Source organism: Homo sapiens, chromosome 6, assembly GCF_000001405.40.
Source record: "Homo sapiens chromosome 6, GRCh38.p14 Primary Assembly".
In the NCBI taxonomy this organism is placed as follows: domain Eukaryota; kingdom Metazoa; phylum Chordata; class Mammalia; order Primates; family Hominidae; genus Homo; species Homo sapiens.
In genome coordinates this window covers 31,906,291-31,929,702 of record NC_000006.12, presented here as the reverse complement: position 1 = coordinate 31,929,702, position 23,412 = coordinate 31,906,291, and the positions used below count along the sequence as shown (strand labels likewise).

The window sequence follows — 23,412 nt, the reverse complement described above, 5'->3', positions numbered from 1 at the left end:
TCTGTCACTCAGGCTGGAGTGCAATGATGCAATCTCGGCTCACTGCAATCTCCACTTCCTGGTTCAAATGATTCTCCTGCCTCAGCCTCCTGAATAGCTGGTATTACAGGCATGCGCCACCGCACCCGGCTAATTTTTGTATTTTTACTAGAGACGGGGTTTCACCATGTTGGCCAAGCTGGTCTCAAACTCCTGACCTTGTGATCCACCCCCCTTGGCCTCCCAAAGTGCTGGGATTACAGGCGTGAGCCACCGCACTCCAGGGCTGTTGTATATGCTTACTAATGTCAACTCATTTAATCCAGATGGCAATCTCAGGTCAGCACTCACTATCCTTGTCTTACAGATGGGAAAACTGAGGGCTAGAAAGGTTAAATAGCCTTCCCAAAGTCTGTCAAAGTCAGAGTAGGGCTTGGAACCCAAACCTGGCTTTAAAGGCAAGGCATTAAAGCACAGTACTTGACTCTCTCCCAGCATATCTTCCCTACAACAATCTGTGGGGCCTGAATATGAAGTCTTGCTTTGAGGCACTTAGAAAAGCCAGGCAGAGTGTGTGGAGGCTTTATGCTACATCTGAAGCTTAGCACCAGCTGCCTGGGGCCTGGCCCTTGCAGACTTGTGATGTGTGACCTGTAGACCTCAATTTACCAAAATCCAGGAATATTATTATGGCACACTGAACAACAGACTCCTATCCCCACAGAGGCTTCCTGGATGCACATTGGGCCCCAGGGTTCCCCAGGAGACCCCAGCCCCCTGTGTAGCCCATCAGCCAGAGAACTCACCCCCATTATCACACACAGCTGTTTCTCCATCCCACATGCCGTTGGGGCGACACTGACGCACAGGCGAGCCCCGCAATATGAAGCCATCCTCACACTCGAAGCTCACATTGCCACCCACGGGATAGGACCCCAGCCGTGGGGTATAAATGCCATTCTCAAAGGAGACAGGGGCTGGACAGCGCACAGCTGGAGAGAGAGGAAGTGGGTGGGGAATATAGGACTGGATGGATAACACCTGGGCTGGGGATTAAGCAGGTGATTTTATGCTGGAATGCATGGGAATGGTCAACTGGCTGTCAAAACACTGAAATATTAGGTTGCAACATGTGAAATTGCTGTTTTTGGCAACTGATTGAATATTGCCAATTTCACAGAGTCTAAGCGAACTGATTGATAAATAGCCACTTCCCTCAGTCTCCTGAGGGCCGTGGCCTCCCCAGACACTCCCCTTGGGATCCTCAGATGTCTAGAGGACTCCAGGACCATTCAGCATCTGTTCTGAATGGTCACTACTAGGCAGTCAATTGTACATAAAAAGTCATCCCTGGCTTTAGTACCCCACAGTCTCCATCAAGACCTGTTCCCAATTCCTTGCTACTGGCAATTGACATTTTCTGGATATTTTGAAAAGCCCTCTGCAAAAGCAACTTTGCCATCTAGTCAGGTTAAGTCCCACCCTGAGCAACTCCTAAACAAAAGTTCTGGGGTGGCCCCTGGTGTAGCACCCTGAGCAAAGCCCACAGGGAGCCTCACGTTTGCAGACCGCCTTAGACAGAGACCGGGTGGCTCCTGGGGTCTGCCACTGTCCGCTGCTCTTGCACAGCCGTGATGCTGGGGATGGGTACAGGCCCTGGGGGCAGGAGTAGGTGAGAAGGCTCCCAGGAGCCCAGCCATGGCTGAGGGTGAAGGTGCCACCCGAGATATTCACGTTCTGAGGGCAGGAGGGAGCCGAGTCTGCCAGACCTAGAGCCGTGGGAACAAGGAGACAGCAATGGAGAAAGAAGGAAGACACAGATGAGAAAAGGAAAGCAAAAGAGACTGTTTCACACATGGGAATTCAAGCTGGGAGCACCAACCTCACACACAGGACCCTGACGTTCCCCCTTCCCTGCCTCCTACCTGGGTACAGGAACAGCAGGCAAAAAAGAACCATCAGTGGGCCCATGGTGTCCTCCCTAGGGGCGGCGAGAGGTAGAGAGCCGCGGGAGGGAAAAGGTCATCTGACTTCCCGAAAACTAGAGCTGGGTCAGCAGCTGCTTCATTGCTGCCAGAGAAGAAAAACCAGGGAGTGGCAAGGGGGATGGTCTTCTGTTAGGGAAATAATAAGCAGGGATTGGGGACTGAACTGAAGGGTGAAACCTTTGCCCTGTCTCCCTGATGCTAATATATCTATAGGGTCAATAGATCTCCCCCACAGGCTTTGTGTACTGCCCCCACGCTCCACCCACCCATGCGTGCACATGTGCACCATACACGCATGCTCACAAACACGCAGGCAAACACATATTTGGGCTCGTGTGTGCACACATGCACCTTGCTCTTGTGTGAATAGTCAATAGTCTAAAGCACACAAACCCACAAACCATCCAAGATATTGCAAAATATTTCATTTAAGTAAAGTTTTAGTGTTCTTTTGGGTTGTACCAAGTGGGTTTTACTTCCTGAGAGCCTAGAACAGTTCTGTCTTCTTGAAGATAAACTTCCGAGGGGGGTGAAACTAATTTTTTTAGAACTTCTTGATAAATAGGAAGATTGACAATACTTTTTTATTCCCTACAATCCTTCCCTAGAGATAATCTAGGTGGAAAAAATGAAATCAACACTTAGTTTTGGAGACAGGAAAAATGTTTACAACATTTTTACGGAAAGTCTAGTAGATGAAATTCCCAACTGGCAAAGTAAATACATTTGGGGTTGGTTACTCAAAGGAATAAAACTTTTGCGGGGGCTGGGATATGCCTTTAAATCATAACCTACACTTGTATGAAATGCAGGAAGCAAAGAAACTTGAAGCTAGTGTGTTAGTCTCCCTGACCCACAGAAGTCTTTTCAATACCTTTTTGAACAATGTAGGGTAAAAATAAATAAGACCAATAAAAAAATGAACATGAAACCTCTCTGAAGTGATCATTTAGGTTCGTAAAAACCCTTTTGATTTATAAGTGAGTCCTTAGAGAACTGATTGAACCTAGAAGATGGAGGTTGCAGTGAGCCAAGATTGTGCCACTGCACTCCAGCCTGGGCAACAGAGTAAGACTACATCTCAAAAAGAAAAAAAAAAAATAAGACCGGGCACAGTGACTCACGCCTGTAATCCCAGCATTTTGGGAGGCTGAGGCGGGTGGATCATGAGGTCAGGAATTTGAGACCAGCCCGGCCAACATGGTGAAACCCCGTCTCTACTAAAATTACAAAAAATTAGCCGGGTGTGGTGGCAGGGGCCTGTAATCCCAGCTACTCGGGAGGCTGAGGCAGGAGAATCACTTGAACCCGGGAGGCAGAGGTTGCAGTGAGCCAAGATCATGCCACTGCATTCCAGCCTGGGTGACAAGAGCAAGACTCTGTCTCAAAAAAAAAAAAAAGAGTACACAAATTGAGACTCCCCTTGGACAGGGCTAAGTGCATGAAAATCAGGACATCCTGGTGTTAGGGACTCCAAAGTGGCTGCTGTGGCAGAGCTGCTAGTGCCTCCCCTGCCCCTCAAGTATCTTTTCTCCCTCCTTCCACAGTAAGAGATGGTTAGGGGAACACACAGTCACCCAGCTAAAGACCATATTTCCTAGCTTCCCTTGCAGCTAGGTAGCCAGGTGACTTGGTTCTGGCTAATGGGATGTTAGTAGAACTTATGTATGTCATTTCCAAGTTATGTCCCTAAAATAAAAAGGCAGTGTGCCTTTTCTTTTCATGGGCTGGAATATAAACCTAGCGGAGATCCGTCTTCCACCAGGAGGATGAGGGCAACATGCTGGGGATGACAGAGCAAACAGACAGAGGAGCCTGGGTGTCTGACACAGTGTTGATGTCATACCAGCCCTGCACAGCCACTTAGATTGTTACAAGAGAGAAATAAACTATCGTAAAGGTGGGGGGTATTTAAGGATGTTCACAAATACTGTAGCCTTGTCTTCTTTCAATCACATGGTAGGATAGGATTTCCCCAGCCACTTGTTTTAGCCAATAAGATGTGAGTACAAGTGATATGTATCACTTCCTGATGGAAGCTCAATGTAGTCTTCACCCTGCTCTTCCCCTCTGTATGGTAACGTCTGAGATGGTGGCTGCTCCACCAGCCAAGATCCCTGGGTGATATCGAAAGCACAGTACCAGCCGGGCACAGTGGCTCACACCTGTAATCCCAGCACTTTGGGAGGCCGAGGCAGGGGGATCACCTGAGTTCAGGAGTTAGAGACCAGCCTGACCAACATGGTGAAACCCCATCTCTACTAAAAATACAAAAATTAGCTGGGCGTGGTGGCATACGCCTGTAATCCCAGCTGCTCAGGAGGTTGAGGTAGGAGAATCGCTTGAACCCGGGAGGCAGAGATTGCAGTGAGCCGAGATCACACCACTGCACTTCAGCCTGGGTGACATAGGGAGACTCTGTCTCAAAAAAGAAAAAAAAAGCGCAATACTCGGCTGACTCTCAGTGGATAAGTAATATGACCAAAAAATAAACCTTTGTTATTTTAATTCATTGCATTTCTACTAATGCAGGAAAAAAAGTACCCACCCAATATGTAGGAAATTTAAAAATGATTTATTCTTTCTCATATTGGCCAGAAGGTTCTTCTGCTGATCTTCCATGCAGCGGCAGTCAGCTAGGGGCTGAGTTCAGTTAACAGTAGGACAGCAGGTCCTTCCTCCCTAGCCCTCATAGCATGGCAGTCTCAGGACAACTTCTGAGGAATCCAAAACATAAGCTGCAAGGTCTCTCGAGGCCTAGCCCCAAAAGTCACATAACATCACTTCTGCCACATTCTATTGGTCAAAGCAAATCACAAGGTCAGCCCAGATTTAAGACTGGAGGCATAGAATTTACCTCTTGATAGGAGGAATGGCAAAGTCACACGGCAAAGGGGCAGGCACATCAGAATAGGAGAGACTGATGGCTATATTTTGTAAGCCCTCCTATGGCAACAAATATTTCTAGGTTGTTGGTTACCAGAACGTAATGAAGCCTAACCTGACTGAACATTCAAATCACTAAACTTTGGGTGCCTTTTAAAGCCATCAAACTAATATGTAACAGCTGCCTTCAAAAGAAAGGGCCTTTCTTTCATGAGTTTTTCCCAGTATTTGTTGAGCTACATCAACTTGGCACAGTGTGGCAGAATTCATTCTCTCTTCCTGCTTAAGTAATAAAACTCCCAAGTTTTCTGGGCCCACAGAGTATGTTCTTAAGGAGAAGTGTTTACTCCTCAATGTATAAAACTTCTTCCCTTCCCACCAGCTGGAATGTGGACAGAATGGTGGACTCTGGAACAGCCACCTAGATCACAAAATGGAAGTCACATGTGGATGATGATAAAGAAACAAAATTAAAGAGGCCCTGCTCTCCAATCCTGTAGAGCTAATAGGATTGACCTGGACCACTTATGCTCAGACCATTTAAGCTGCTGTTATTCTAGCTTGGTTATAACAAAGCCAAACCATGTCTAACTGATATACCTAGCAAGAAATCAATGTGAGAGCCAAAGGCAACACTCAGAGAAGTGTGTTTATTAGGATACACGTTAAACTTCTGTAATAAAGAGACCCTAAAATACAGTAACTTAAATAAGATAGAATTTTGCTGCACTTTCAAATAAGAGCCTCAGAGGCCGGGCGCGGTGGTTCACGCCTGTAATCCCAGCACTTTGGGAGGCCGAGGCGGGTGGATCACAAGGTCAGGAGATCGAGACAATCCTGGCTAACACGGTGAAACCCCGTCTCTACTAAAAAATACAAATAATTAGCCGGGCGCGGTGGCAGGCGCCTGTAGTCCCAGCTACTCGGGAGGCTGAGGCAGGAGAATGGCAGGAACCCGGGAGGCAGAGTTTGCAGTGAGCTGAGATCGCGCTACTGCACTCCAGCCTGGGAGACAGAGCGAGACTCCATCTCAAAAAAAATAAATAAATAAGAGCCTCAGAGGCCGGGTGCGGTGGCTTACGCCTGTAATCCCAGCACTTTGGGAGGCCGAGGCGGGCGGATCACGAGGTCAGGAGATCGAGACCATCCTGGCTAACATGGTGAAACCCTGTCTCTACTAAAACTACAAAAAAAAAAAAATTAGCTGGGTGTGGTGGCGGCGCCTGTAGTCCCAGCTACTCGGGAGGCTGAGGCAGGCGAATGGCGTGAACCCGGGAGATGGAGCTTGCAGTGAGCGGAGATCGTGCCACTGCACTCCAGCCTGGGTGACAGAGCAAGACTCCATCTCAACAAAAAAAAAATAAAAACAAAATAAGAGGCTCAGGGTAAGCAGACAAGGCTGAGATGGCGTGTGTGGCCCTGGCTGGCAGAGCTGCTCATCAGCCTCCTTCAGGCCTCCAGCTTCCTTCCATCTGTGGTTCATGCCTTTGGAAATTGTCCTTGTCTGCATGGTTGAAACAGGGTCTCCATCAAGTCTGCCTCCCACCCCACTCTTCCATTCATATTCCATTGGCAAAAAGTCAGTTATAGTCCACTGTCAGCTCTCCAGGAGGCCCAGTCGAATGTGGAAGGACCATGACCTGACCTGTGGGGCTAAAGATGCCAGACCTTTATTCCCCTCGGCACTCCCGATTAGCTTTTCAGTAGACCCCACCAGATGAGGGCGACCTTGGCTTCTCTATTTCTTGTACCATTCAAAAGCCCAGCAAATGTAACCGTGTTTTCACTCCAGGTAGAGGGAAGCAGGTGAATAATATCTAAAAAACAGACATGCCTCTCCTGCCAGCTTCTTCCATCTTGTCCAAATTTCTTCTTATCAATTCTAGGCTTCTAATATCTGCTTCCAAGGGTACAATTCCAAAGAGAAAAAACCAATACCCCAATTCTGTACTTCATCTCCTAGTCAGAGTTGGATTTTTGCTTTTGGTTTTTTTGGTTTTTTGTTTTTGAGACAAAGTCTTGCTTTGTTGCCCAGGCTGGAGTGAAGCAGTACGATCTCGGCTCACTGCAACCTCCACCTCCTGGGTTCAAGGGATTCTCCTGCCTCAGACTCCCAAGTAGCTGGGATTACAGGCATGTGCTACCATGCCCAGCTAATTTTTGTATTTTTAGTAGAGATGGGGTTTCACCATGCTGGTCAGGCTGGTCTCAAACTCCTGACCTCAGGTGATCCACCTGCCTCTGCCTCCCAAAGTGCTGGGATTACAGGTGTGAGCCACTGTGCCAGGCCCCCTAATCAGAGTTTAAAAATCAGAAATGATGCTCTGATGGCCTCTCAGGATGCCTTATTCTCCCCTGGAGAGCTCAGCACCTTGCAGCTGAAAATTTCTGAGGAAACGTGGCATATAGCAGAGGCCGACCCCACTCTAGTGGCCAGTCTACTCCTTATCCAGTCTGGCCACTTGGGCATGGACTTCGCGGTCATCCTAGGATCTGCCACCCCTCAACCTTCTATGGCAACTGCAGGTCAACCCCCAAATTGGAAAACTAGTCTGGCTTGGCCTGGTTCACAGCCTTAATGTGTGACTTTAGATGGGGATTCAGCATTGCTCTGCAAGCCTCTTGGTGGTTTTAGTGGATCTGTCCTTGCCCCACCATATCCCTTGGGCCTTATCACTGGGGTGCTCCACTGACTTCCAGCTGCAGCATCTCTGTCTCTACCCAAGGATTGTTTTTGGTGTCCTGCACCATCTGTGCACAGAAAGCTGGAAATGACAGAGAATTAAGGCCTTCAACCAATGACTGATTGGTATAAATACTGGGCTCCCTCACCCTGGACCATGGGATAACTCTGCACCACTCCAGGGTTCCTGAGTGGGATTGACCTCCACTCACCCACAATGGTAAATTTGCCTGATAACACACCCTTCATTGACTGCCTTCCTTCTCTATCACACTCCACTACCCATGTTTCTTGCGATCACCTCCAGAATGCACTGTCTGCACTGGAACCCTTGTCTCCAGGTCTGCTTCTGGGGGAGGAAGACTTCATATTAGCAGGACATAGTGCCAGACAGTATTTTTAAGTCTTAAATGTAGGTGCTCACTTAATCCTCACAGCAAGCTTATGACACAGGTTCTGTTGTTACTCCCACTTTACAGATGAGGGAACTGAGGCACACAAAGGTTAAGTGAGCTGCCCCAGGTTCATACAGGTACTAAGCAGCAGAGCCGGGATTCAAACCCAGGCAGCATGGCTCCTGGGTCCACACTCATAGCCACCAAGTGGTAGTGCCTCTTCCTCACGTCTTCTCTTTAGTGACTGCTGGGAGCTCCTTGCGCATCCCTGAAGTCTACCCCAGCCCCTTGCATTTCCAAGCCCTCTCTCCCCTAGGCTCTTTCCTCTTGGCACCCCCTCTCCCATAACACCTTCTTTTCCATCCTTCTCAAATCCCTCATCTTCCAGACTCCTACAAGACCTGTCCACGCCATTTCCCACCTTCTAGCTACTTGTGCACTTGTCTCAAGCTCCCCAGAGGAAGGATCCAGGAGTTTTTTTTTTAAACAATGAGCTATCCAAGTAAGGTCAAGCCAATGCCCTCCCCCATCCTATTTCCACCCCAAGTAAATAGCATCTTTCAGGTCAGCAACAGAATTGGCTTTGGTTTCTCATCCATTTCTTTTTTAATAAAAATATTTACATTGGGTCAGACCCCACCCATTTCCACACAAAGGCCTCTGCTAAGTTCCTCGGTACACACACCATCCCCCATCCTAGCAGGCACTGCCTACTAACTTTGAAGTGATTGCCCAACTATGATCTTGAGGAATCTCCACATACATCACCCTTAGAGCCTCAGAAAGGGTTTTGCCCTGCCCCATGGGGCTCCTCCCCATGCCCAGGCTCTTCCAGGGCCCTGGGCCTCAGAGGCCACCCTGCAGGCCCAGACACTGGGTTAGACACTGAACCTCCTGTCCTTGTCCATCCATTGCACAAACAATTCCTGAGAATGGAACGAGGAACTAAGGGGTGGGGTAGGGCCTCCCAAGAAACAGAAGGCCTGTCCCTGACCTCCTGTAGGCGCCATATCTCTTTCAGACAAAAACTCAACCTCTAAAGACTCACAGGCCTGGGGTGTACCAGGGTGTCCATCTGCCCACACCGCAGCTCTTACCTCAGCCCTCTGAGGTCTCCACTGTCCTTGGGCTGGTGGGGGGCATGGTGCATGTTATCACCCACTTCTTGCTACCCATCAGGGGAGCTGCCCTGGGTAACCCAGGTAAGAGGGTGGTAAACACAACTCAGGTGCTCAGGGGTCAGCTGAGGATGGGCCAGGGGGAGGGGTGGCCTATGGCTGAATTGCCCTGGCTCCGGTCCTCACCACCCCAACCCCAGCTCTGGGCTTAGCATTGGTGGCAGTGGGGGCCTCACTAGCCTCCTCTGCCCTTTCATTGAAAATTCCTCTCTAATGTTTTCCTTTATCCTGGGGAGTGGGGAGATATTCATCCCCTTCCCAGTTCTGGGTACCAGTACCCTCTTGACAAAAGGATAGCCTGGGGCTCACATGGGAGAATCCTCCTGCCCTCACTCCTCCAGTGCTGCCAAGGGGTGAAGAGGGAACTTGCCCAGTAGAAAGACATACGTTCATGCCTTGCTTTCCTGCCCAACACAAATGAAAGGTTATACCTGAGAAGAGCTCCTCCTGCCCCGTCTCTGGCCCCAGCCCCAGTGTGGTATGAGGAATTCAGGCTTTGACTTAAGACAGCCTGGAACCTCAGGTTTGGCTTGGCAAATTCATTAGCTATTTCGTAGCCTTACTCACCCTGTTTTGTCACCTGTCATCCACAGAACCAACAGCAAAATACACTCCCCTTAAGGTTACCTTTGAGAATTAGGACCATCAAAAGGAGAAGATCGGCTACCCTACAGGTATAAAAGGTACCAGGATATTTGCTTTAGCATTCACTGTTACCAAGAGGAAATGTTTGGAAACTCCCACGTCCATTAATAGGGGACAGACACAGCACATTGTGGTATGGGGACAACTGAATACTACGCAGTCTCTGCAAGCTTAAGGCTTATCTGTGTGTACAGAGCTGAATGTCTCCAGATATATATGTTATATAATATACACTTTTAAACTAGATAGACATTCAGAACTGTATGTATGGGATGCCACCATTTATGCAAAAAAAGGAGGGAAAGAGGATAGTAGCCACATATGCTCTCTGTGTGTATATAATTTCACTGGAAAAGTTTACAAAAAACTGGATAGGAGAGTTGCCTCTGGGGAGAACTGGGGGCTGGAAAATGAGGTGGGAGGTAAAGAAGGCAACTTAATTTTCACCAAATCCCCTTTATTACTCCTTGTAGTTTTCACTGGGTACATATGATACCTATTCAAGGCCAGGCCCAGTGGCTCACGCCTGTAATCCCAGCACTTTGGGTGGCCAAGGCAGGTGGATCACCTGAGGTCAGGAGTTTGAGACCAGCCTGACCAACATGGTGAAATCCCGTCTCTACTAAAAATACAAAAATTAGCCGGGTGTGTTGGCAGGCACTTGTCACCCCACCTACTCAGGAGGCTGAGGCAGGAGAATTGCTTGAACCTGGGAGGCAGAGGTTGCTGTGAGCTGAGATTGCACCACTGCACTCCAACCTGGGCAACAAGAACAAAACTCCGTCTCCAGAAAAAAAAAAAAAAGAAAAGAAAAGAAAAGAAAAGAAATACCCTACTGGACTATTAACAAGAGACCCTGATACAATCTCTCTGCAGATTAAGTTTTATTTTGTAAAATTTCAAACATATTGTAAAGTAGAGAGAATAGTAAAATGAACTTTCATGTATGTATCCATCATCTAGCTTCAGTTCATAGACGGTCTCGGTTCATAGACGGTCTGGGTTCATGTCTATATACCACCCACCAACCATTCCTTCCAGGAATTTTTTTTTTTTTTTTTTTTTTGAGACAGAGTCTTGCTCTGTCACCCAGGCTGGAGTGCAGTGATGCAATCTCGGCCCACTGCAACCTCTGCCTCCCAGGTTCAAGCCTCCTGAGTAGCTGGGATTACAGGTGCCCGCCACTACACCCAGCTAATTTTTTTGTATTTTTAGTAGAGATGGGGTTTCACCAACTTGGCCAGGCTGGTCTTGAACTCCTGACCTCGTGATCCGCCCACCTCGGCCTCCCAAAGTGCTGGAATTACAGGCGTGAGCCACCGCTCCCAGCCAGGATTTTTTTTTTTTTTTAAGTTAAAGACAGGGTCTCACTGTCACCCAGGCTGGAGTTTAGTGGTGCAATCACAGCTCACTGTAACCACAAACTCCTGGGCTCACATGATCCTCCCACCTCAGCCTTCCAAGAAGCTGGGACAAGAAGCATGCATCACCATGCCCAGCTAATTTATTCATTTATTTACTTTTGTAAAGACAGGGGTCTCAGTATGTTGCCCGGACTGGCCTCAAACTCCTAGCTTCAAGTGATCCTCCTGCCTCAGTCTCCCAAAGTGTTAGGATTACAAGTGTGAGCCACTGTGCCTGGCCTCGAGGAATATTTTTTTTTTGAGATGGGGTCTTGCTTTGTTGCCCAGGCTGGAGTGCAGAGACCTGATCATAGCTCACGGCAGCCTCAAACTCCTGGGCTTCCACAATCCTCCCACCTCAGCCTCCTGAGTAGCTGAGATTACAGGCATATGCCATCATACCAGGCTAAGTTTTTTTTAATTGTTTACTTTAATTAGAGATGAGGTCTTGCTATGTTTTCCAGGCTGGTCTTGAACTAGCCTCAAGCAATCCTCCAACCTAGGCCTCCCAAAGTGCTGGGAATTCATTAAAAATTTTTTTACGGAAAAGCTCAAATTTTTCATTTTAAAATATTTCTCTTTTTTCTTTTTTCAGAACATTTCTCACTTACATAAGAGCACATTTTCTTTCTCTTTTTTTCAGATAGAGTCTCTTTGTGTCACCCAGGCTGGAGTGCAATGGCGTGATCTCGGCTCACTGCAACCTCCGCCTCCCGGGTTCAAGCAATTCTCCTGCCTCAGCCTCCCAAGTAGCTGGGATTACAAACGGCTGACACCACGCCCAGCTAATTTTTGCATTTTTAGTAGAGACGGGGTTTCACCATGTTGGCCAGGCTGGTCTCCAACTCCTGGCCTCAGGTGATCCGCCTACCTCAGCCTCCCAAAGTGCTGGGATTACAGGCATGAGCCACCGCGCCTGGCCTTTTTTTCTTTTTTTAAAATTCCAACTTTTATTTTAGATACAGGGGGTACAGGTGCAGGTTTGTTACATGGGTATATTGCACTAGGTAGTCATAGAACCAATTAGGTAATTTTTTAACCCACACTCCCTCCCTCTCTCCCCTTCTAGTAGTCTTCAGTGTCTATTGTTCCTATATTTATGTCCATATGTGCTCAATATTTAGTTCCGTTATAAGTGAGAACATTAGGCATTTGGTTTTCTGTTCCTACGCTAATTCATTTAGGATTCTGTCCTCCAGCTCCATCCATGTTGCTGCAAAGGACATGATTTAATTTTTTTTTTTTATGGCTGCAAAACTATTTATCTTTCACTTCTTGGCTTTTACCAAAATAAAATGTTTCTTTTGAACTATAAATTTATAAAACATCTCATTGTTCTCTGTATCATAATTTTTTTCTTTTTTTTTTTTTTTCTGAGACAGAGTCTCACTCTGTCACCCAGGCTGGAGTGCAGTGGTGCCGTCTTGGCTCACTGCAACCTCCGCCTCCTGGGTTCAAGCGATTCTCCTGCCTCAGCCTCCCAAGTAGCTCGGATTACAAGTGCCCACCAGCACGCCGGCTAATTTTTGTATTTTTAGTAGAGACGAGGTTTCACCATGTTTGCCAGGCTGGTCTCAAATTCATGATCTCAGGTAATCCACCCGCCTCGGCCTCCCAAAGTGCTCAGATTACAGACATGAGCCACCACAGCCAGCCTTTTTTTTTTTTTTTTTTTTGTTGAGATGGAGTCTCGCCCTGTCACCCAGGCTGGAGTACAGTGGCGCTATCTCAGCTCACTACAACTCCAGCCTGGGCAAAAGGAGCAAAACTCTGTCTCAAAAAAAAAAAAAAAAAAGGGCAGAGAACTAATGCCCAGAGTCAACCTGCAATTATTGCAGAGTGGGAAGCAGTAGACAGATGCTCCTGCCTCCTGTCCTTCAGGTGGAAAGCGTCTGGAGACATTCAGCTCTCTCCTCAGGAGGGCCTGGGGGAATCGAACTCCACTGCACACAACAGTGACATCACTCTTTTTTTTTTTTTTTTTTTTGAGACGGAGTCTCACTCTGTTGCCCAGGCTGGAGTGCAATGGTGCAATCTCTGCTCACCGCAACCTCCGCCTCCCAGGTTCAAGCAATTCTCCTGCCTCAGCCTCCCAAATAGCTGGGATGACAGGCACATGCCACCACGCCAGGCTAATTTTTGCAATTTTAGTAGAGACAGGGTTTCGTCGTGTTGGCCAGGCTGGTCTCGAACTCCTGACCTCAGGTGATCCACCCACCTCAGCCTCCCAAAGTGCTGGGATTACAGGCGTGAGCCACCATACCCGGCCAACATCATTCTCTTAAACTGGCCTTTCCTCCTTCAGGATCTCACACTCCCTATAGCCTCGCTTCTGCTTTCTGGGATCACCTAAATTAACTACCTATGGCCAAGTCCTGTCTCAAGCTCTGCTGTCAGGGTCACCAAAATTAAGATCATCCCTTTCCATCCTCCTCTCCCTATAAACTACTGCCCTTCTTCCACAAACTCCTTCCACGCCAGCAAACCCAGACTGTAACATTAACACAGAGTTATAATCCATCCATATACTGGTCTCTCCACATTCCTGGAGCACAAACTGCTAAAGGGTAGGAACGCTGTGACACGTTTGGTTCCCCCACTGTCCAGTGGGAGAGAGATATGTGAGCCAGTCAGCGCTACACCGAGTTGAGGCAGCCATTGAGGCTCTTCATGAATTTTCCCGTTTTCTGCCTTCCAGGCACATGATAGGATGGAATTCCTCAGCCCTCCTGAAGTTAGGCCACTGCAAGAGGCCTAACTGGCTTGCTTTGGCCAGTGAAATAAGAGCAGAAGTCACATGTGTTGTTACTGTCAGGCACAAGTATTTAACTGCCAATGTAACACAAGACACTCCAGCACCCTCTTTTGATGGAGCCTCCTTTGATCTGGATGCCTGAGTGACTATGATGATCAGAGACTCTAACACTCCTACTGACCCAACAGAGAGCAATAGTGAGAAATAAAACTGTTGTGTTAAGCTACTGAGATTCCAGGGTTGTTTGTTACTGCAGCATGATGTAGCCATCCTGACTGATACAAGCTGAGATAGGAGTCCATATAAAGTTCACAGGGACACAAACAGGGGAATATTAGGTCTCTCTAGAAGATCAGAAAGGTTTCATCAATGAACTTGAGATAGCCTTAAAAGATGAGTGTTTACCTGACAAGGAAGAGATGCAAGCATCCAGGTGAGCAATGAAACCCCAGAGCGCATTAAAGGAACTGCAAGTTCAGGACCTTTCAGGGCTGGGGAGGGAAGGAAGGCCACAATGACACTAGACCAGGGAGGAAGGAGAGAATGCCTTATGGAAGAAACAGCATTTACAGCTTGTAAGGCGATTTGCTATATGGAATTTTAGATAAGGAAGTGATATGATTTGATTTGCATTTCAGAAATATTATTCTGGAATCAGTATGTAGGGGCTGGAAGACCAGTTAAGAGACATTTAGAGTCCTGGCAAGACAACAGGGGCTAAAAGCAAGCACAGAAATGAGGAAGGGAAAGCCAGCACCAACGTTGAGGCATAGACCACGGGGCCCCTGAGCCCTCCTCTGACTCTCAGAACACCTGGGTGTCTTATCACATTGCACCATGACTGCTTGTTCATTGTTTTTGTTGTTGTTGTTGTTGTTGTGATGGAGTCTTGCTCTGTCGCCCAGGCTGGAGTGCAGTGGTGTGATCTTGGCTCACTGCAAGCTCCGCCTCCCGGGTTCACGCCATTCTCCTGCCTCAGCCTCCCAAGTAGCTGGGACTACAGGCGCCTGCCACCACGCCTGGCTAATTTTTTTGTATTTTTAGTAGAGACGGGGTTTCACCGTGTTAGCCAGGATGGTCTCCATCTCCTGACCTCGTGATCCACCCGTCTCGGCCTCCCACAGTGCTGGGATTACAGGCGTGAACCACCGCGCCCGGCCGATTGCTTGTTCATTAACTATAGTCTTCTTTTTTTTTTTTGAGACGGAGTCTCACTCTGTTGCCCAGGCTGGAGTGCAGTGGCACGATCTCGGCTCACTGCAACCTCTGCCTCCTAGGTTCAAGCGATTCTTCTGCCTCAGCCTCCCAAGTAGCTGGGACTACAGGCATACACCACTACGCCCAGCTAATTTTTGTATTTTTAGTAGAGATGGGGTTTCACCATATTGGCCAGGCTGGTCTCGAACTCCTGACCTCATGATCCGCCCACCTCGGCCTCCCAAAGTGCTGGGATTACAGGAGTGAGCCACCGCGCCCGGCCACTCAGGCAGGATTTCTATGTGACAGTCTTGAGGCAGAATTCCTTCTCTGGGAAACCTAAGTCTTTGCTCTTTAGGCCACAATATCAAGAGTAATCTCCTGGCTGGGCGTGGTGGCTCACACCTGAAATCCCAGCACTTTGAGAGGCCGAGGCAGGCGGATCACAAGGTCATGAGATTGAGACCATCCTGGCCAACATAGTGAAACACGGTGAATACAAAACTTAACTGGGCGTGTTGGCATGTGCCTGTAATCTCAGCTACTTGGGAGGCTGAGGCAGGACAATCACTTGAACCAGGGAGTCGGATCGCAGGTTGCAGTGAGCCAAGATCGCGCCTGGGTGACAGAGCGAGATTCCGTCTTAAAAAAAAAAGGGCCAGGCACGGTGGCTCATGCCTGTAATCCCAGCACTTCTGGAGGCCAAGGCGGGCAGATCACGAGGTCATGAGTTCAAGACCAGCCTGGCCAACATAGTGAAATCCTGTCTCTACTAAAAATACAAAAATTAGCCGGGTGTGGTGCCTGTAGTCCCAGCTACACGGGAGCCTGAGGCGGGAGAATTGCTTACACCCAGGAGGCGGAGGTTGCAGTGAGCCGAGATCACGCCACTACACTCCAGCCAGGGTGACAGAATGAGACTCCATCTCAAAAAAAAAAGAGTAAACTCCTTTACTTAACGTCAGCTGAGTATAGATGGCAATGTCTTTGCTTCGTTTTATTTTTTTGAGATGGAGTTTCGCTTTTGTTGCCCAGACTTGCCCAGACTGGAGTGCAATGGCACGGTCTCAGCTCACTGTAACCTCTGCCTTCCAGGTTCAAATGATTCTTGTGCCTCAGCCTCCCAACTAGCTGGGATTACAGGTGCCTGCCACCACACCCAGCTAATTTTTGTATTTTTAGTAGAGATAGCGGTTCACCATGTTGGCCAGGCTGGTCGCGAACTCCTCACCTCAGGTGATCTGCCCACCTTGGCCTCCCAAAGTGCTCCAATTACTGGCGTGAGCCACTGTGCCCAGCCAAGATGTCAGTGTTATCTACAAAATGCCCTCACTGAAGTATCCAGACTACAGTCAGGCATGGTGGCATGCTTGTAGTCCCAGATACCCAGGAGGCTGAGGCAGGAGAATCACTTGAGACTGGGAGTTCAAGTTCAGCCTGGAGAACATAGTGAGAGTCTATCTCATTAAGATAAATAATAATGCAAATGTGTATATATACAGTGCCCAAGGGCACCATAGCCTTGCCAAATTGACACATCTTTTTTTTTTTTTTTTTTTTTTTGTGGAAACAGGGTTTCACCATCTTACCCAGAGTGGTCTTGAAATCCTGGGCTCAAGTAATCCTCCCACCTTGCCCTCCTAAAGTGCTGGGATTACAGGCGTGAGCCACTGCGCTTGGCCTGACACATAAAATTAACCATCACAGAGTCATCAATGTGGTAACCAATCTCTTTTTTTTTTTTTTTCTTTTTTGAGATAGAGTCCCGCTCTGTCACTCAGGCTGGAGTGTAGTGATATGATCTCAGCTCACTGCAGCCTCTGCCTCCCAGGTTCAAGCGATTCTCCTGCCTCAGCCTCCTGAGTAGCTGGGATTACAGGCACACACCATCACCCTGGTTAATTTTTTGTATTTTCAGTAGAGACAGGGTTTCACCATGTTGGCCAGACTGGTCTCGAACTCCTGACCTCAGGTGATCCACCTGCCTCAGCCTCCCAAAGTGCTCGGATTACAGGTGTGAGCCACCGTGCCCGGCCTGGTAACCAATCTCTAAAGAGCACATGGTACCACCCAGAGAGAATGAGATAAAGGCCTAGAAGGCCAAAGGCATCAACAGAGGAAAAGGTCAAGACAGGAAAGGAGTGAGGGTTTATAGAACAGACTGAAATTATAGAAGGAAGGGAGCCTGGATACAGGGGTGTCATGGAAACCAGGGAAAAGCAGTGGATCAAACAGTGTGGTCAAGTATGTCACAGACTGCAGAAAGCTCAAGTAAGAGGAGCACTGAATAATATCCATTAAATTTGAAGCCTTTATATCTTTTTTCCCAAGAAGCAACAGTCTCATGGCTGGTGTACAACTGCTTCAGAAAATAGTTTAGCATTAGCAGGGAAGCTGAACAGGTGCAGACCTCAACATCCAGCAACTCCACTCTTACGAATATGTGGATGCTTGCTACTCAGACTGTGGTCCACAGACAGACAGCATCAGCATCAGCAGGAACTTGTAGAAATGCAGAATCTGGCCAGGCACGGTGGCTCAACGCCTGTAATCCCAGCACTTTGGGAGACTGCAGTGGGCGGATCGCTTGAGCCCAGGAGTTAGAGACCAGCCTTGGCAACGTAGTGACCCGGTCTCAAATTGGAAAAAAAAAAAAAAAAAAAGGGCCAGACATGGTGGCTCATGCCTGTAATCTCAGCACTTTGGGAGGCTGAGGCGGGCAAATCACCTGAGGTCAGGAGTGCGAGACCAGCTTGGCCAACATGGTGAAACCCCATTTCTACTAAAAATACAAAAATTAGCCAGGCGTGGTGGCATGTGCCTGTAGTCCCAGCTACTTGGGAGGCTGAGGCAGGAGAATTGCTTGAACCCGGGAGGCGGAGGCTGCAGTGTGCCACTGCACTCCAGCCTGGGCAACAGAGCGAGACTCTGTCTCAAAAAAAAAAGAGAGAGAAAAAAAAAAAAAGAAAGAAACACAGAATCTCAGGCCCCACCCAGACCTACTGACTCAGACTCCGAATTAAAACTCCAGATGACTCATGTGCATGCTGATTTCAAGAAGCATGTAATCTTCAAACCCTTTTGCTCACATTAAAAGAATTTTGCAAATTATGTACCCCTTGCATGTTTTTATGCTGCTATCTAAAACTTTCCCCAAATGTTTAGTTGCAAAAGAATGCCATTCCAGTGTGTTGTAAACATGGATCTTTTTTTAAAAGTCTTATTTCACTTTTTAACCATTCCCTTCATGATTCATTTTATTTTTTTTTTTATGTATTTATTTGTTTATTTTTTGAGACAAGAGTCTCCCTCTGTCTCCTAGGCTGGAGTGCAGTGGCGCCATCTCGGCTCACTGCAACCTCCGCCTCCCAGGTTCCAGCAATTCTCCTGCCTCCACCTCTCGAGTAGCTGGGACTACAGGTGCCTGCCACCACGTCTGGCTAATTTTCGTATTTTTAGTAGAGACGGGGTTTCACCTTGTTGCTCAGGCTGGTCTCGAACTCCTGACTTCAGGTGATCCACCCGCTTTGGTCTCCCAAAGTGCTGGGATTACAGGCATGAGCCACCACACCCAGCCCAATTCATTTTATTTATTTATTTTTTATTTTATTTTTAAGATGGAAGCTTGCTCTGTCACCCAGGCTGGAGTGCAGTGGCACGATCTCGGCTCACTGCAACCTCTGCCTCCCGGGTTCAAGAGATTATCCTGCCTCAGCCTCCCGAGTAGCTGGGATTACAGGCATGCGCCACCACGCCTGGCTAATTTTTGTATTTTTAGTAGAGATGGGGTTTCATCATGTTGGCCAGGCTGGTCTTGAACTCCTGACCTCAAGTGATTCATCTGCCTCAGCCTCCCAAAGTGCTGGGATTACAGGTGTGGGCCACCGTGCTGGGCTCATGATTCATTTTTAAAGTACATGATTATAATCTTCTTTAACAGTCAGAAATTTCACATTGTTCTATTTCTTCTGAATTCTTATTTTCATAGTTCTATTTCTACCCCCAAGACATTATCCTAATGTAATACATTTTGTGCTTGAAAGCCTTCTAAGCCTGAGCAACATGGCAAAACCCTGTCTCTACAACAAATAACAAAAATTAGCTGGGTGTGGTGGCGTGTGCCTGTAGTCCTAGCTACTCTGGAGGCTGAGGTGGGAGGATCACCTGTTCCTGGGGAGGTCAAGCCTGCAGTGAGTCATGATTGTGCATTCCAGCCTGGGCAACAGAGTGAGACCTTGTCAAAAAAAAAAAAATGAGCAAAGGACTTGAATAGATATTTCTCCAGAGAAGACACACAAATGGCCAACAAGGACATGAAAAGATGCTCAACATCATTAGTCATTAAGTAAATGAAAATAAAACTATAATGAGTACAACTTCATATCAACTAGAATGTCTATTTAAAAAAAAAAACAAGCCAGGCGCGGTGGCTCACGTCTGTAATCCCAGCACTTTGGGAGGCTGAGGTGGGCGGATCACAAGGTCAGGAGTTCGAGACCAGCCTGGCCAATATGGTGAAACCCCATCTCTACTATAAATACAAAAATTAGCCAGGCGTGGTGGCGCGTGACTGTAGTCCCAGCTACTCAGGAGGCTGAGGCAGGAGAATCCCTTGAACCCGGGAGGCAGAGGTTGCAGTGAGCCAAGATCGCACCACTGTACTCTAGCCGGGGCAACAGAGTGAGACGCTGTCTCAAAAAAAAACAAAAAACAAAAAAAAACAGAAAATAACAACTGTTGGCAAGGATATGGAGAAATTGAAGCTTGTGTACAATCTCCTGGTGGGAACATAAAATGGTGCAGCTGCTGTGGAAAACAGTTTGGCAGTTCCTCAAAAGGTTTAACATATAGGGTGGGCACAGTGGCTCACGCCTGTGATCCCAGGCTGAGAGGAATTTGGGAAGCTAAGGCTGGAGGATCGCTTGAGCCTAGCAGTTCGAGACCAGCCTGGGAAACACAGCAAGACTTCATCTCTACAAAAAAAAAAAAAGAGGTGGGCGGGGGAGCAAATGCCATGGCTCACGCCTATAATCTCAACAATTTGGGAGGCCAAGGCAGGCGGATCCCTTGAGCTCAGGAGTTCCAGACCAGCCTGAGCAACATGGTGAAACCCTGTTTCTACAAAAATGCAAAAATTAGCCAGGCATGGTGGTGCATACCTGTAGTCCTAGCTACTCGGGAGGCTAAGGCGGGAGGCTAAGCCTGGGAGGTGGAGGTTGCAGTGAGCCAAGATCACACCACTGCATTCCAGTCTGGTCAACAGAGATCCTGTCTAAAAAAAAATAATAATAATAATACGTTAAAAATTTAACATATAATTGCCATATAATCCAACAGTTCCACTCCTAGGTATATATCCAAAAGAACTGTAAATAGGTATACAAACAAATTCTAGTATAAGCATCCAATTAAAAGACAATGAATGAATTACAGCTACACAAGTCAACAAAACCATAATGTTGAGTGAAAAGGCCAGCCCCAGAACATGTACAGTATGATTCATCTGTGTGATGGTCAAACAGACAAAACTAAACTGTCCGGGAAAACCTACAACTGCATAGATACTGAAACTATTACAATAAGCAAATGAAGTATACACGGTCATACCTCAGAGATATTTTGGGCTTCGTTCCAGATCCCCTCAATAAAGCCAGTCATATCAACAACTTTTTGGTTTCCCAGTGCACACAAGTTATGTTTACACTGTACTGTAGTCTATTCAGTGTGCAATAGCATACGTCTAAAAACAATGTATGTAACCTTAATTTTAAAATACTGTATTGCTAAAAAATGCTAACAGTCATCTGAGTCTTTAGTGAGTTGTAACATTTTTGCTGGTGGAGGATTTTATCTTGATATCGATAGCTGCTGACTGATTAGGGTGGTGGTTGCTGAAGGTTGGGATGGCTTTGACAATTTCTTTTTTTCTTTTTTTTTTTTTTGAGATGAAGTCTCATGCTGTCACCCAGGCTGGAGTGGAGTGGTGCAATCTCGGCTCATTACAACCTCCATCTCCTGGGTTCAAGCAATTCTCCTGCCTCAGCCTCCCAAGTGGCTGGGACTACAGGCACCCCCACCACACCCAGCTAATTTTTGTGTTTTTAGTAGAGATTGGGTTTCACCATGTTGGCCCAGGCTGGCCTCGAACTCCTGACCTCAGGTGATCCGCCCACCTCAGCCTCCCAAAGTGCTGGGATTACAGGAGTGAGTCACCCCACCCAGCCAACAATTTCTTAAAATAAGACAACAATGAAATTTGCTGTATCTACTGACTCTAACTTTTATAAAAAGATTTATCTGGGCCGAGCACGGTGGCTCATGCCTGTAGACTCAACACTTTGGGAGGCCAAGGCAGGAGTATCACTTGAACCCAAGAATTCAAGATCAATGACTGGGCAACACGGGAAGACCCAGTCTTGCCACTTTTAATTAAAAAAAAAAAAAAAATGGCCGGGTGCTGCGGCTCATGCCTGTAATCCCAGCACTTTGGGAGGCTGAGGTGGGCGGATCATGAGGTCAGGAGTTCAAGACCAGCCTGGCCAACATGGTGAAACCCCATCTCTACTAAAAATACAAAACATTAGCTGGGCGTGGTGGCAGACGTCCGTAATCCTAGCTACTCAGGAGGCTGAGGCAGGAGAATTGCTTGAACCTGGGAAGCAGAGGTTGCAGTGAGCTGAGATTGTACCATTGCACTCCAGCCTGGGCAACAAGGGCGAAACTCCATCTCAAAAAAAAAAAAAAAAAAAAAAGCCAGAAGTGGTAGCGCACGCCTGTAGTCCCAGCTACTCCAGAGGCTGAGGCAGGAGAATCACTTGAACCTGGTAGGTGGAGGTTGCAGTAAGCCGAGATTGTGCCACTGCACCCCAGCCTGGCGACAGAGCAAGACTCTGTCTAAAAAATAAATAAATAAATTAGTCCAGGAAGGTCGAGGCTGCAGTGAGCCTTCTTTGCACCACTGTACTCCAGCCTGAGCAAAAGAAACCACTTTTTTTTTTTTTTTTTTTTTTTTTGACAGGGTCTTGCGCCATCACCCAAGCTGGAGTGCAGCAGTGCGAACAAGGCTCACTGCAGCCTTCTCCTCCCTGGGCTGAATCAATCCTCCCACTTCAGCCTGTTGAATAGCTGCGACCACAGGCAACACCACCTCCCACAGCTATTTTTTTTTTTTCTGAGACTGGGTTTTGCCTTGTTGCCCAGGCTGGTTTCAAGTGATCCTCTTCCCTTGGCTTCCCAAAAGTGCTGAGTTTACAGGCGTAAGCCACCACACCCAGCCTTGTACCCTCTTATATTTTTTAAATTTTGAACAAAACTTTACAATTTGAATTTGGAATTGTACTTACACATTTTGAATTTTGAACAAAACTACATTTTGAATTTTGAACTTTGAATTTTGAGTTTGTAAACAAAATTTTACAAACTCTAATGCTTTTATTTTGCTTTTTTTTTTTTTAAGACAGAGTTTCACTCTTGTCACCCAGGCTGGAGTGCAGTGGCGTGATCTCAACTCACTGCAACCTCTGCCTCCCAGGTTCAAGCAATTCTCCTGCGTCAGCCTCCTGAGTAGCTGGGATTACAGGCATGCACCACCACGCCCAGCTAATTTTTTTTGCATTTTCAGTAGAAACGAGGTTTCACCATGTTGGCCAGGCTGTTCTCAAACTTCTGACCTCAAATGATCCGGCCACCTCAGCCTCCCAAAGTGCTGCGATTACAGGTGTGAGCCACTGCACCCGGCCCTACAAACTCTAATTCTTAACTTGACAGCTTTTTGTATTTCTGCTCTCACGAATGACTCCATGAAAAAAATAAAATGAACAATTTTTTTTTTAAACTTGGGATATGGATTAGGTCATTTGCAGGGACACAGGCAGGCCTGGGGAGGACAACCTGATCCAGGCAGGTATCACAGGCCCGAAAGTCAGTTGCTCAAGCAGCAAGGATGACATAGGGTAGCAGAGCAGACTTGGTGAGGCTCAGAGGATAGAATATTTGTCGAGAAGTGGAAGAGTCTTTTTCTGTCTGGAATTCACAAGGTGCTGGGAGAATCTGCCTCCATTTCCCCAGATAGACCTGGATCTGGGCAGAGTCAGCAAGGGTGTGTGGAGGACTTGGACGATGGCAAAGGTGGTGGGCTGCAGGGAGTAAATTCCCTCCGAGGTAGGAGGGGGAGGGAAGAGTTTGTCTGGAGGCAGGTTGAGGCTGGGAGAGGGCTCCGAAGAGCTAGGGATAAGGAGCTCTGAAGAAGGAGGAGGAGCCAGCATTGAGGAGCAGTCAAGGGGGATGGATGGGAGTTCAGAAAA

The 23,412-nt window shown here is 47.5% G+C and overlaps 1 protein-coding gene across 6 annotated transcripts in view; it reads right to left on the bottom strand.

Annotated features, from left to right (window-relative positions):
* Positions 1-23,412, bottom strand: part of C2 (complement C2) — a 47,890-nt gene that overhangs the window by 15,970 nt on the left and 8,508 nt on the right. For 2 of the 6 annotated variants that reach the window (NM_000063.6, NM_001282459.2), the window contains exons 1-3: positions 1,905-1,986; positions 1,539-1,748; positions 786-971 (exon numbers count right to left, since the gene is read on the bottom strand). The exons of 2 other annotated variants lie outside the window; for them this stretch is intronic. In NM_000063.6, the coding sequence (NP_000054.2) occupies positions 786-971; positions 1,539-1,748; positions 1,905-1,950 (442 nt within the window). In that variant the 5' untranslated portion in view covers positions 1,951-1,986. Of the gene's footprint in view, positions 1-785; positions 972-1,510; positions 1,749-1,904; positions 1,987-23,412 lie in introns of those variants that run through there. 2 more of the 6 variants (NM_001282458.2, NM_001145903.3) reach the window with 2 other exon arrangements.